Source organism: Homo sapiens, chromosome 1 (genome assembly GCF_000001405.40).
Source record: "Homo sapiens chromosome 1, GRCh38.p14 Primary Assembly".
Classification (NCBI taxonomy): domain Eukaryota; kingdom Metazoa; phylum Chordata; class Mammalia; order Primates; family Hominidae; genus Homo; species Homo sapiens.
Window position 1 is genome coordinate 115582816 of NC_000001.11, and position 13347 is coordinate 115596162.

At 43.2% G+C, this 13347-nt stretch overlaps 1 annotated feature.

Moving 5' to 3' along the window:
* Positions 13053–13347: an enhancer, noted in NCBI's record as "tiled region #11441; HepG2 Activating DNase matched - State 12:CtcfO, and K562 Activating DNase unmatched - State 12:CtcfO". NCBI's record gives its function as "activates a minimal TATA promoter and a strong SV40 promoter by Sharpr-MPRA in HepG2 and K562 cells {active_cell/tissue: HepG2 | K562}" and the evidence as "EXISTENCE:reporter gene assay evidence [ECO:0000049][PMID:27701403]".

Here is a 13347-nt window from a genome sequence, read left to right on the forward strand (position 1 = left end):
GCATTTTTTAGTAGAGATGGGGTTTCACCATGTTAGCCAGGATGGTCTCAATCTCCTGACTTTGTGATCTGCCCACCTCAGCCTCCCAAAGTGCTGGGATTACATGCATGAGCCACCACGCCTGGCCCTTGGCTGTCCTTGACATTTTTTCTTCATTTCGGCCTTGGTGAATCTGATGATTATTTGTCTCAGGATTGCTCTTCTCAAGGAGTATCTTTGTGGTGTTCTCTGTATTTCCTGAATTTGAACATTGGCCTGCCTTGCTAGATTGGGGAAGTTCTCCTGGATAATATCCTGAAGAGTGTTTTCTAACTTGGTTCCATTCTCCCTGTCACTTTCAGGTACACCAATCAAACACAGATTTGGTCTTTTCACATAGTCCCACATTTCTTGGAGGCTTTGTTCATTTCTTTTCATTCTTTTTTCTCTAATCTTATTTTTAGGCTTTATTTCATTAATGTGATCTTCAATCACTGATATTCTTTCTTTCATTTGATCAAATCTGCTATTGAAGCCTGTGTATGCTTCATGAAGTTCTCGTACTGTGGTTTTCAACTCCATCAGGTCATTTCAGCTCTTCTCTACGCTCATTATTCTAGTTAGCCATTTTCTTTTTTTTTTTTTTTTTTTTTGAGACAGAGTCTCGTTCTGTCGCCCAGGCTGGAGTGCAGTGGCACAATCTTGGCTCACTGCAAGTTCCGCCTCCCGGGTTCACACCATTCTCCTGCCTCAGCCTCTCCGAGTAGCTGGGACTACAGGCACCCACCACCACGCCCGGCTAATTTTTTGTATTTTTAGTAGAGACGGGGTTTCACCATGGTCTTGATCTCCTGACCTCATGATCTGCCCACCTTGGCCTCCCAAAGTGCTGGGATTACAAGCATGAGCCACCGTGCCTGGCCTAGTTAGCCATTTTCTAACCTTTTTTCAAGGTTTTTAGCTTCCTTGCAATGAGTTAGAACATGCTCCTTTAGCTCAGAGAGGTTTGTTATTACCGACCTTCTGAAACCTACTTCTGTCAACTTCTGTCAGACTCATTCTCCATTCAGTTTTGTTCTGTTGGCAAGGAGTTGTGTTCCTTTCGAGGAGAAGAGGCATTCTGGTTTTTGGAATTTTCAGCCTTTCTGCTCTGGTTTCTCCCCATCTTTGTGGTTTTTATCTACCTTTGGTCTTTGATGTTGGTGACCTATGGTTGGAGTTTTGGTGTGGATGTCCTTTTTGTTGATGTTGATGCTATTCCTTTCTGTTTGTTAGTTTTCCTTCTAACAGACAGGTCCCTCAGCTGCAGGTCTGTTGGAGTTTGCTGGAGGTCCACTCCAGACCCTGTTTGCCTGGGTATCACCAGCAGAGGCTGCAGAATGCTAACATTGCTGCCTGATCCTTCCTCTGGATGCTTTCTCCCAGAGGGGCACCTGCCTGTATGAGGTGTCTGTCAGCCCCTACTAGGAGGTGTCTCCCAGTCAGGCTACATGGGCATCAGGGACCCACTTGAAGAGGCAGTCTGTCTGTTATTGGAGCTTGAATACTATGCTAGGAGAACCATGCTCTCTTCAGAGCTGTCAGGCAGGGACATTTAAGTCTGCAGAAGCTGTCTGCTGCCTTTTGCTCAGATATGCCCTGCCCCCAGAGGTAGAATATAGAGAGGCAGTAGGCCTTGCTGAGCTGTGGTGGGCTCAGCCCAGTTTGAGGTTCCCTGCTGTTTACACTGTGAGCATAGAACCACCTACTGAAGTCTCAGCAATGGTGGACGCACCTCCCCTCTCCAGCATCCCAGGTGGATCTCAGACTGCTGTGCTAGCAGCAAGTAAGCCTCCGTAGGCTTGGGACTTGCCAAGCCAGGCACTGGAGGGAATCTCCTGGTCTGCCAGTTGCGAAGACCATGGGAAAAGCACAGTATTTGAACAGGAGTATACCGTTCCTCCAGGTACAGTCACTCACGGCTTCCCTTGGCTAGGAAAGGGGAATTCCCCTGACCTCTTGTGCTTCCCAGGTGAGGTAATGCCCCACCCTGCTTCTGCTCACCCTCCATGGGCTGCACCCACTGTCCAACCAGTCCCAATGAGATGAACCAAGTACCTCAGTTGGGAATACAGAAATCACCTATCTTCTGCATCAATTCACTGTGAGCTGTAGACTGCAGCTGTTCCTATTCTGCCGTCTTGGAAGTGTCCTGTAATAGTATGTTTCACCCTCAGAATAACACCAATCAAAAGTCTAATGATATAGCTCTGCTGCCTTTTCCTATACTTATCAGAGTCCTGGAGGTACTTTGTCTGATATTAGGTCACCTTATCTGTAATAATTTTATATATTATTGAAATATTTAATTGGCCACAATCTTACTTCTTTAATTTGCATAAAGCATCTTCTAGGCCAGTGGTTCTCAAGTTGGGTTGCAGATCAGACTTATTCTTGAAGTTTTATAAAAATATAAATGTCTAGCCCCTACTCCATACTTACTGAATCTTTTTAATTAATATTCTCAGAAAAAAAATGATGTCTCAGGATTATTATATGTTGACCTCAAGATTTTTAAAATCTTTACATGCCTTGAAACAAGCAAATTTCCTCAACAGTTGCATTTTTTATTTTAAGAACATTCATCAGAACTTTTAGGTTTGAAAATTATTAGTTATAAAATAGACCAGGCACAGTGGTTCATGACTGCAATTCCAGCACTTTGGGAGTATGAGATGGGTGAATGACTTGAGGTCAGGAGTTGGAGACCAGCCTGGCCAACATGATGAAACCTCATCTCTACTAAAAACAAAAAATTAGCCAGGTGTTGTGGCACATGCCTATAATCCCAGCTACTTGGGATGTTGAAGCATGAGAATCACTTGAGTCTGGGAGGCAGAGAATGCAGTGAGCTGAGATTGCACCACTGCACTCCAGCCTGGGCAACAGAGTGAGATTCTGTCTCAAAAAAAATAGTTATAAAATAACTGCAGCCATTAAGCCTCTGTTATGCAAGTGAATAGAGACAACCCAAATGAAAACAAGGAAAGCCTATTTATCCTGAGCTTGCTATAGCAAAGGAGCCACCAGCACTTGCATCTTGACAGAGATTCAAAGGCAGGCAGAGGAGTGGGAAAGCTTTACAGTGGGAAGAGGGAAGACTTCAAGAGTGCCCTTACTAAAGGCTGTTGGCCTGGAGAAGTTGTAGGTGGGCCAGCTGGAAGTGGGGCATCCTGTGTGATTGGTTGGGGAACATACTTGGCTTTCTCTGGTTGGTTCTAAAATTGGTAGCAGGGGTGAAAATTAGGGAAACTATCAATTATGAATCAAGTCCTGGCCATTTGAGGACAATTGCTTCCAGGGTTATCATCTGATTTCTTGGACTGGTTGCTACAGAAAGTACGTTGGCTTCCCAGGCTGGTTGCCACAGTCGTGGGTCAGTTCCACTTGTATAGTTTGGTCCATAGAATTGCCTGTCTCATTGTCATTTACAGATAGCTTTTGTTTCATCCAGATACTTGCTTAAAGTTTCTGCTAAAAGCTACAGGTCAGCATTTGTTTCTTCAATAAAGAAGACCACAGTGCCTGCCTTGAGAAAAAGGACTATACAAACTATGAATACTTCAAAGAATAGACTTTTAGGTCCAAGATTCTGTGCTGACATTGCTTAGACAACTTTCATACCACAGCAGTGGGATCAGTCAGAATTTTCAGAATCATTTTTAGTCTAGAAATAGATAGCTTCATGAAAGCAGACTGCTAACCCAAGATCTAACACAAAAATTAATTACATAAGACTGAATAAACTGATGAAGGAAATTTTTTGGTAACTGTTCATTTTTTATATTGTTGATATTGTTTTAGTGGTCTATCTTCCATATGTACATGTAGAATATATAGCTATAGATATAGATATGTATTCTATCTCTTCCTGAGCTTTCTGGATCCAAAAAAATTAATAAACTCAATTTCTGTAAACTCAAGTAAAAAATTTAAAATGATACCTGATTATTCCTGAACCCCAGATCAGAAATTCTAAATTATGAGTCTCCTTGCTTTCTGTGGCAACATAGTTATTTGCATAGGTTCTTACCAGGATATGATTGGACAAATCGTGCAGCATTAGCTGGAGTGTCACATTTCAGAATAATCCTCACTGAATTCAGTATGACCAGCCACTTTTGAGGAACAAGGGTTGACTTCACTTATAGAGCTGGTGCATACAAATCCCCCTTGGGAATATGGTCCTGGTTTATAAAGTCTCATTCTCAAAGGCAGTAAGGAAGATCACTTCCTGGAAAGCCTGGGACTTTAGCAAATTTAGGGGACCTTAAGAAGACAGGGATTTGCTCAAATGTACAGGTATCACAGGTGATGTCTGGTGGAGAGAGTTTCTTGGATTTGACCTTGTAGTGATAGAGACAGGAGACAGCCAAGTGTCCCCTGCCCCCAGAACTGGTGAAAGCCTGCCTTCAACCCTAAAACATCCTGAAGGCTGAAAAACCAGACTGCAGGTCCTAGATGAAGCCTGCCCTTTCCTGACTGATTCTTTCTGAATAATGCCCACCTGAGCACTGGGAGGACAGGGTGGAGCCTCTGGAAGTTCATGTTGTTTGCAGTGGGGAGGAGCATGGCCTCTCCTGTTCCTGTGTAGCAACCTGAGATTCAATCTGTGAGGTGAGAAAGCTGCTAACAGAATTCTCTCTAGCTTTGTTGAGAGTTATTTTTCCTTTTTGCCCAATAAATTCCATTTTTTCTCACCCTTATATGTGTCTGTGAGCCTAATCTTTCCTGGGTGTGTGACAAGAGCCCTGTTTTAGCTGAACTAAGGAGAAAGCTCTGCAACATTTTTGGCACCCAACATGGGGCTTGAGGAAGGGTGAGTAACGTGCAAACCAAAAAATCTTTTTTCCTTTTGCATCTAAGCCTTTTTGTCCCTGGACTTCTTCTGAGGTTAGAGGAAATCATGCCCCCACGGAACATTGCTCCCAGGGGTAGGGAATGTTGGCCTTTTCCTTCTCTTTTTGGGATGGATGTGTGAACTGGTGGCTCCCCAACTCCCTTCTTAAGTTTTTCTCCCTGCTAGAGGAACCCATTGGCATATGAATAAGAAGTTCTTCCCCTAGGCATCTTTCCAACCCTGCACTTTAATTTCTTTTTCCTTTTCTCTACCCTGTCAGCAGTTAATTTTTATGTGAGAGGTTTTTTTCTTTTTAGAAAATATTTTACTAGGCCGGGACCCCAACTATCACTGTTTATATTCTCTGTAAAGTTTTAATATTGAAAAAGAATTTGTGAGGTTGGTCTTAAGCTGTAGCCAATCTGGTGTGCTTTGCATGACTTTTTCTATGGTCAGTAGCAAACTTTGCTGTAGGCTTTCATTTTGTTTTACATCCTTGGGAGTATGACCTGTAACTATGTAGCAATGTTTTGCTTAGCCTCTGCCATTTCACAATGGCAGCTGGATTCACTTTTGGCTTAGGATATGAGTCCTTTCTGGTTTGATATCTGTGCAACCTTTGTATTTGTTGATTCTCTTCCCCTCCACCATGAATCACCTTGGATTTTCCTTTCTCTGAGCCTTTAATAAAGTTTGAAAGCCAGAATTATTGGTCACTTGGTGTGGCTAAAGTCAGGTAATAGGGGATTTAAAAGGATTTTCTTAAATAGCATTCAGCTTAATTAAAAGTGGGTACACAAGATATAGGTATATTTAAAAGGCCTTTATTTTTTTCTTTACTTTGACCTTGTTTTGCTGGAAAAGATTTTTTTTTGGTTGACTGAATTATTTTTCTCCATTTTACTTTGCCACTTTTCATGCATGCACAAGAGGAGAGATACCTCTGTTTTTCTCATGAAACCCCAGGAATTAAAGGCAGATCAATCCCTCTCAAAGTCTGTTTTTGACTCACAGTTATGCCTGTCTATTAAAAGGCCTTAAAAGTGGAATGTTTTCCTAATCTTGTCTCTTAAAGGGCTCCACTCAGAGTCCAATAATCCAATTAGGAGATTGGCAAACAAAAAATCTTATGGCTGCTGGGTTTTCTTATGCCTGTCTCTGTAGTTATATATGTGTTGTGTATGTGATGTCTATAAAAAAGAGCTCTAATTAATTGGCCTAAAGGAATACAAGTGCTTGGATCAAATATTTTTTAAAGGGAAGATAAAAGCTGTGGTACCTTTTAGTTCACATGACTTTAATCTTTGAGAAATAAAAACAGCCTTAAAAATTATTGGTAAAATGCAGATATCAAAATGTAAATAGGTAAACTAAATTATGCAGGTAAGATACTAGGTTTGCTAAATGTTTTAAGGTTATAAACTGCCTTTAAGAATTTTCAACTTGCTGGCTTCACCATTGGTAAGGACTGGGATATATGGAATTAACCATGCCCTTAATTACGCTGGAAGGAGTCAAACCTTGGCTGCATCTAGCACATAATTAAAACAACTTATCAGGTTTTACATTAAAGTTAGAATTGCTAGGAGTTACCATTATAACATGTAATTGCAACTACTAGAAATAGATTTACATGTGAAGTGTGTAAGAACAGTAAGAAGAGTTTTCAGTAAAAGATTGTAAGAAGGCATGGAAATGTAAATTCTTACCTAGGGTTAAAGGATTGCTTTTAATTAGATAATATAAAGCTGGATGTTTGAAAAAAAATGATGGAAGGATTGTCAAAGTTAATCTTGCAAAAAATTCCATGTGTGAACATATTGACTAAATTCAAAATGGTATTACATGGTTTCTCTGTAAATTGAGCATTGAAATAAAAGTACAACAATGTAATCTGAAGGCACTAATCTGCTCTTTAGCAAAATTTGTAAAGGGTTATATAAGGTTTTTGCTTTTTAAAATTTTGAGTCATTTTGGCAAAATAAATTGTAATCTGGAATTCTATTTCATGACAGCAAGTATTTTAAACCTCTAACATATTTAACAAGTTTCCCAAAATCAAACTTCAGTTTCAAAATTGTCTTTCCTAATGCCTGGCTTTTGGATGCTACAGAGGGCCCCTGAAGTATCCAGAAGAGAGGGAAACAACATTTTTGAACATGTTTAGTTACATGGGACTGCCAAAATAGTGTTCAATCTTCTTTCAGTTATATTTTGGTGAATAATACTAATATATGTTTCATAATTGTATGGGATTTCTAAAATTCTAATGTCTAAAGTGTATGCTATCAATTATAATTAAGGTTGTTAAGTTACTATAAACCACATAGATAACCGAACTTCTTTGTCAATTGTGTTTCTAACTGCAACTACCCTGGACATTTTGTTATTCACAGACAATTGCTGTCTTGTTTTGATCCTTTTCAAAAATGGCTTATAATAAGCTATAGGACTCTGATAGGTGCTCTCAAATACAAGTTTCTGATACATTCGGAGATTTTAACACTTGAATAAAGAAAAAACACACAGGACTCTTGAAGAGCTAAAATGTTCATGAATATCAAGCAAAACAAGAGTTAGCTAAATGGACTGAAATATAACACTGAAGCAATCTTTTCGACTTTTGTTTGGAGTAATGCTGATCCTCGTTATGTTTTTCAGAATCAAGGAAACTTATTTTGAACTATTTATGGCCTTTAATAATTGAGTAAGGTATACTCCTGTGAACAAAATTTGGAGCATATTTGTTTCTCTCTCTCTTTGCCTGGCTTCTCCACAATTTGGAAACTAGTTGTACATATTATTAACTTATGGCAATATAGTTGTTTGCATCAGTGCAATAAGAATCCATTTTCTTTTGCAACTGGATGCAATTGGAGAAACTGGTTGTTTTACCAAGGCTTCAACTGGAAAGGTATGCTTCCCTTTAAGGAGTCAAGTTCAACTTGCAGCACCAATAAAAGCTCCCTGGGAAAACTGACCTCATACCCTTGTCTATGCAGTCCCTGTACAGGGTTCCTGATCTGTGGTAAGTAAAGAATATCACTTTTTGACAGGCCCAGGAGCTCCAAGTTTATCTTGGGACCTTAAGAAAAGAGGATTACCCAACTCACAGGTACTCAAGGAAAAAAAACCAATGGCTGGGCTTGGCTTTAAAAGGTCTTATCTGAGATTCCTTGTGGAACAGAGTTTCATCAAAGCCAATCTAAAATCCTTATGTAGAAATAATTATTATTGCTGCACTTTATACAAATAATCAGGCCAAGTGTAAGACTAACTTCTATTTTGCAAAGAAGTCAGTCCTATCATGATTTGTTTTTGTAACAAAAATGAGGACTGGAGAGAAAGAAATTATATTTCAAAACTTATCATACATTTGTCATTAGATTCTAGACTCATTAGCTGTTTTTTAAGTTTTGGCCTACACTTTAGACTAACTCTGCTTCTTCCTGTGAACCAACTAGCAATTTCTGGCTGCAGCTCAGAAAGAACAAAAGGGATGGATGATATAAAAATCTGGATCAATATTCTAGTTCTGAGTAATCATCCTGCTAATCCTGCCAGATGATGTGAATAAATAGGGTGCCCATCACCCGGAGGTTTCCTTTTTGGGAAAGTAAGACCAAGGGTGCTGACCAAAGTCAGGCCCCATGCACCCAAATCTTAGCAAGCATAACTACAGCCACCAGTTATCTGGGCATGTCACAAAACATCCTTTTCTCTTTCTTGTTGGAGGAGGACACAATTCCACAGCTTCACCTTAGCATTCAGCATATGATAAGGAGTCCATACAACCCTCCCATCTCCCCACCACAAGACACATTTTTGTACTGAACTCAATTCCAAGCTTTTGGTCAAAGCCCTAGAAATGAAAATTGGATCTGAGGGATCCAGAGGCAGACAATAATGGAGGTTAAAAGGCAGAGTACAGGTAAGTGTGACTGATTCCTGCCAATTAAGCCAAGCTTCCCATTTCATGGATAAAGGTCACACTAGTGTCCATTGCATAAATGAAATCTAGGGAATTCAAAGGCTACTGACAACAGGAGAGATTCAGTGTACGTGGGTAAGAGCAGATACTCCCACCCCTTAGGCCCCTCTGTTAACATGGGTGAAAGCCACTTTGACACCCATGGGCAGCACCCTGTCACGGTCACTGGGACTTGGTGATAAAAGGATGGTGAAAAGAAAGAGGAATGCCTCATTTTCCCTCCCTCATGTACCCCAGGTATTCATTAGGAAGAGAAGGGAGCCAGGGATGCCTTGCTCCCCATTCTTCTAGATGAATAGCCGTTCATCTTCAGTCTGTACCCCTTTTGAATGCATCCTGAACCCCTGGGACTCCTTTGAAAAAAAAATTCTTCTTTTTTCCTTTCTCCTCTTCCCTCTCTTCACTGATAAGTAACTGTGTCTCCATACTATGGGACACTCCTTTGGATGCATCCTCCAAAGTAGGAAAAGTTAATTTCCCAAACCTTAAACTGGTTAGAATTGGGCTAGGGGAAGGGAACCCAGAAACCTGACATGCCAGAAAAAAGGTAAATTTTTTTTCCAGTCAAGTTTTTGCCCCCTTCCCATCCCTGTACAAACTGGTAAAAGGCCCTGGAATTTTTTAGCTCTCCTTAACCAGCACCCCTTTTGTTTCATTTTGATACATGTCTTCTAATAACCCAGTTTGTCTCTTCTCACCTTCAGGCCATCAAACTCCAAACAGTCATGCAACCAGAGCCTTGGATGATGGCCTCTTCTGCCAGGGACCCTTAGATAGGCCTCTGAGGGAGATCTGACTGCTGTTTTCCCAAAACAGCACCCCCTGTCAGCAGGAAGGAGTTAAGATCAATCTTCATGCTTATCCTTATCCTTATTCTAACAGCAGTTAAAGGTGCTTCTTTAGAAGGGGTAATGATAGAGACAGGAGGCAGCCAAGGGTTCCCTGCACTCCCCAGCAAACCCCGCCTTCAAGCCTAAAATAGCCTGAAGGCTGAAAAACCAGACTGCCAGTTCTGGATGAAGCTCGCCCTTTCCCAGTTTATTCTTTCTGAATAATGCCCACCTGTGCAGTAGGAGGATGGGGTGCAACCTCAGGAAATTTGTGCCATTTGCAGTGGGGAGGAGCCTGGCCTTTCCTGTTCCTGTGTGGTGACCAAGGACTCAATCTATGAGACGGGAAACGTGCTAGCAGAACTCTGTCACTTTGCTGAGAGTTATTTTTTCTTTTTCCTTTTTGCCCTATAAATTCCATTTTCCTCACCCTTCTGTTGTGTTCGCAAGCCTAATCTTTCCTGGTCATGTGACAAGAGCCCAGTTTTAGCTGAACTAAGGAGAAAGTTCTGCAACAGTAGTATGCTGTTTCCTCTGCCTAAAATCTCTACTTAAACCTCTCCATCAGAAGGATTTCCACACCAAACCAAAACATCCTTCCAGACCCAGCTCAAATGCCTCCTCGGGGAAGCCTTCCCTCATTCCTTCTCTATCCAGAAGACCTCTCCCTCTGAGATTCTCAATGCACTTGCATGTTTTTAGTTATCTTGAGAGGCTGAAGGCAAAGAGCAGCACATGACACAACACAGGAGCTGAAAATAGGATGACTGAATGAATGACCAAGTAATGAATGAATGGCTAAGTGATAGATGAATGAATTAATGAAGAGATGGCTTGTGCTAAGAGAAGAGATAGCATTTGAATTGAGATTTCAAGAGGGATCAGATTTTCAAACCAGGAATAAGGTAGGTCAAGTTTAGGCTCTTGACAATGCTACACCTCTTAGCCTCGTAGCATTGACCCACTCACGATCTGCTTGCTGGCAGAGAGATTGTCCCACTTCTCCCAAAAATAAGGTTATGAAACCCTAGTGCTACAAGCTTGGGAGGCAGATCTGGGCTGGAATCCTCCATCCCTTTCTCTGGGGTGAGCCAGCAAGTTTACCTAATCTCTCTTAGCCCTCAATTTTCCTTATCTATGGAGTGAGAAAAACAGTATCCAAATTCTAGTTTGGTTGTTAGGATTTAAGTAGATAATGTCTGTAAAACATTTAGCTCTGTTACTGGCACAAAGTAAATGGTAGCTATTATATTATTATCATCACTTCCTCCCTGGGATCCCCAGGGCCTATGATGTTAGTAAGTGAAAGAGCTGCCTGACCTGGTTGCTGCCCTTTGACACATTTTGAATCCCCAGTGACTGCTTCTACTTGCCAAGCTTTTACCTCCAGAAGTCAGGGCCCATGATTTGTGATTTTTCCCCAGCTAGGTGTATGTGTTTTGGGGACCCTGAGGACCTGGGTGCCCCAGGTGACTGAGCCCAGCCTAGGAGTTTATTCCTGGAGAAGGCTCTGCAGTGACCCCAGTGCTTTCTGTGTGTGGATTTTGGCGGGGCAGCTGCTGCTGAGCCCAGGAAAGCTGGGCTGTGAGACCTGGCCCCTCTTGGGTGGACCACAGCCTCCTTGTGTGTCAGAGAAGAGCTGGCCCACCCACCTAGAGAAAGTGAAGGGAAAGCTGGGCTGCTCCAAGTCCAGGCCAGACCAGAATTTATTGTGTGGGTTTCTCTTAACCCAAAAGGTTTCCTTAGCGAGGAGAGGAGGGGAGGGGAGAGGAGGAGCTACAAGCTAAGACTCTTCTACCCAAGCACCTGCTCCATGTTGGATTCTTTGGGATCCTCTACAGCAGGGCCTTTCACGATTTGAGAATGGCCCAGTTCTCTTCTGTCTGTTGAAGCTTCTGCTACATTTTAAAGAAATGGATAAAAGCTATAACGGGATCATAAAAAGGGCAATTTATAAATTATTAATTAATGTTTTTGACAAAAAATGTATAACTGTATAATCACATTGGGAGAAAGTATAGGGCTCACATTTCAGGCTTTCTGGGCAGGGGAGACTCGGGCCCTCCTAGCCCTGCGCCTGCACACCTGGCTGTCTGATGTGGCCCTCCAGGTGGCGATGGACATGAGGGAACATGTGGTATGTCTGAGGAGAGCAGGCTGTGAATGTGAGAAGAAGGGAACTGGCTGTAGCAATACAAGGTGGGTGCCCCTGGATCTGGGTGTGAGGACTCAAGGACCCCAGTCCTTCCTTCCACAGCCTTCCCCAGCCTTGGAACCACTCCAGGCCTGTCTCCTGTTAGTTTGTAAGTGGTCGTTTCCTTGACTCTGGGAACGCAACCAAGTCCCGTTATTGCAGGATGGATTCCCACACCCTGCCCTGGGCCCCAGGAGTGCTGCTGTCCCTACCTGGACTATGGGTTGCTTTCTGGGGCCCTGAATATGGGAAGAGCAAGACTGAGGCATAGGGACCTGAGGAAAGAGAGGGTAGCCAGAATAACCATAAGGATTGTCTCAGGGCCTAGAGAATCTCTGTGTCGAGAAAAGCAGAAGTGATGCCCCTTGGGCTTTGTGTTAGGCGGATGGGTTGGGGGCAGCTGGGTGGGCTCGCCAGTCTAACCAGGCACAGAGCTGACTTGCTTCCTCTCAGACCCTGTGGCTATCTCTGGTCCAGAGAATCCAGTAGAAGCCTTTGTGCTTGTCCAGAGGCCCAGTGGCCCCCAGGTCTTCCTCTTCACTCCCCAGTCCCCCTCCATCAGCACTTCTCTGCCTAAGGAGCTCCAATAGTCTGATACCAAAGGGCCAGAAGATGCAGGTCCTCAATGCCAGGCAAGGGGTGCGACTTCTCAACAGTAGTGCTTGAAGCTCCAGCATGGATATGTGCAGATTGGTAGGAGGTCATGGAGACTCGGAGGTGCATGCAAGTCGTTGCTGTGGAAACAGCTCAAGTGTGAGGCGCTGGGGGCCAAGGGGGAAAGCAGCGGGTGGAGGAAGGGTCAGCTTCTAGTTCTGTGAGAGGCTGGGAGACTGTTTGAGCCTGGAGACAGGCGGCAGGCAGAGCCAGTGTTAGGCACCATTGCAGCACCATCAGGTCTCCTAGGACAGAAGAAGGGATTGCTTCTGTCCTCTCTGAAGATACCCTGACTGGGAACGGTGGTGGTCTGGGATGTGGGGGGACCCCTGGCCTCTTACAGCTCTGCCCCTGACTCGGTCTTGGGAAATCCACACCATTACTTCCCAAGACTGCCTGCTGGATCACTGTGGCTCAAAATGGGTGGCTTTGCAGAGAATTCTCCTTATTTACGCTCTGCCAATAACTGGAGCCTCTTCCAGGCAGACCATTGTGGGGGTGACTGATAGTGCCAGTGACTACAGTTTAGTCAGCCTGCTAGCTCTGTATTTCACTCCCCTTGAGGAGGTGCTGGCAGAAATCCCAGGAGCCCCATGAGGCTTCCTTTTCTATGCTGGCTGAGGAAGCCACAGCACTGGAAAATTACTGTAAATGTGCGTCTGGCGCCACCTAGTGATCGAGGCCCTCCTGCACCCTGTCAGACAGCTCTCTCAGGAAAGCAGTTTGCCTTCTTGCAGTGCACACTTCCTCAGGCTTTGGTGTGTGTGACGGTCACCTAGGATGCTTGTCAAAAATGAGGACTCCTGGCCGGGCGCAGTGA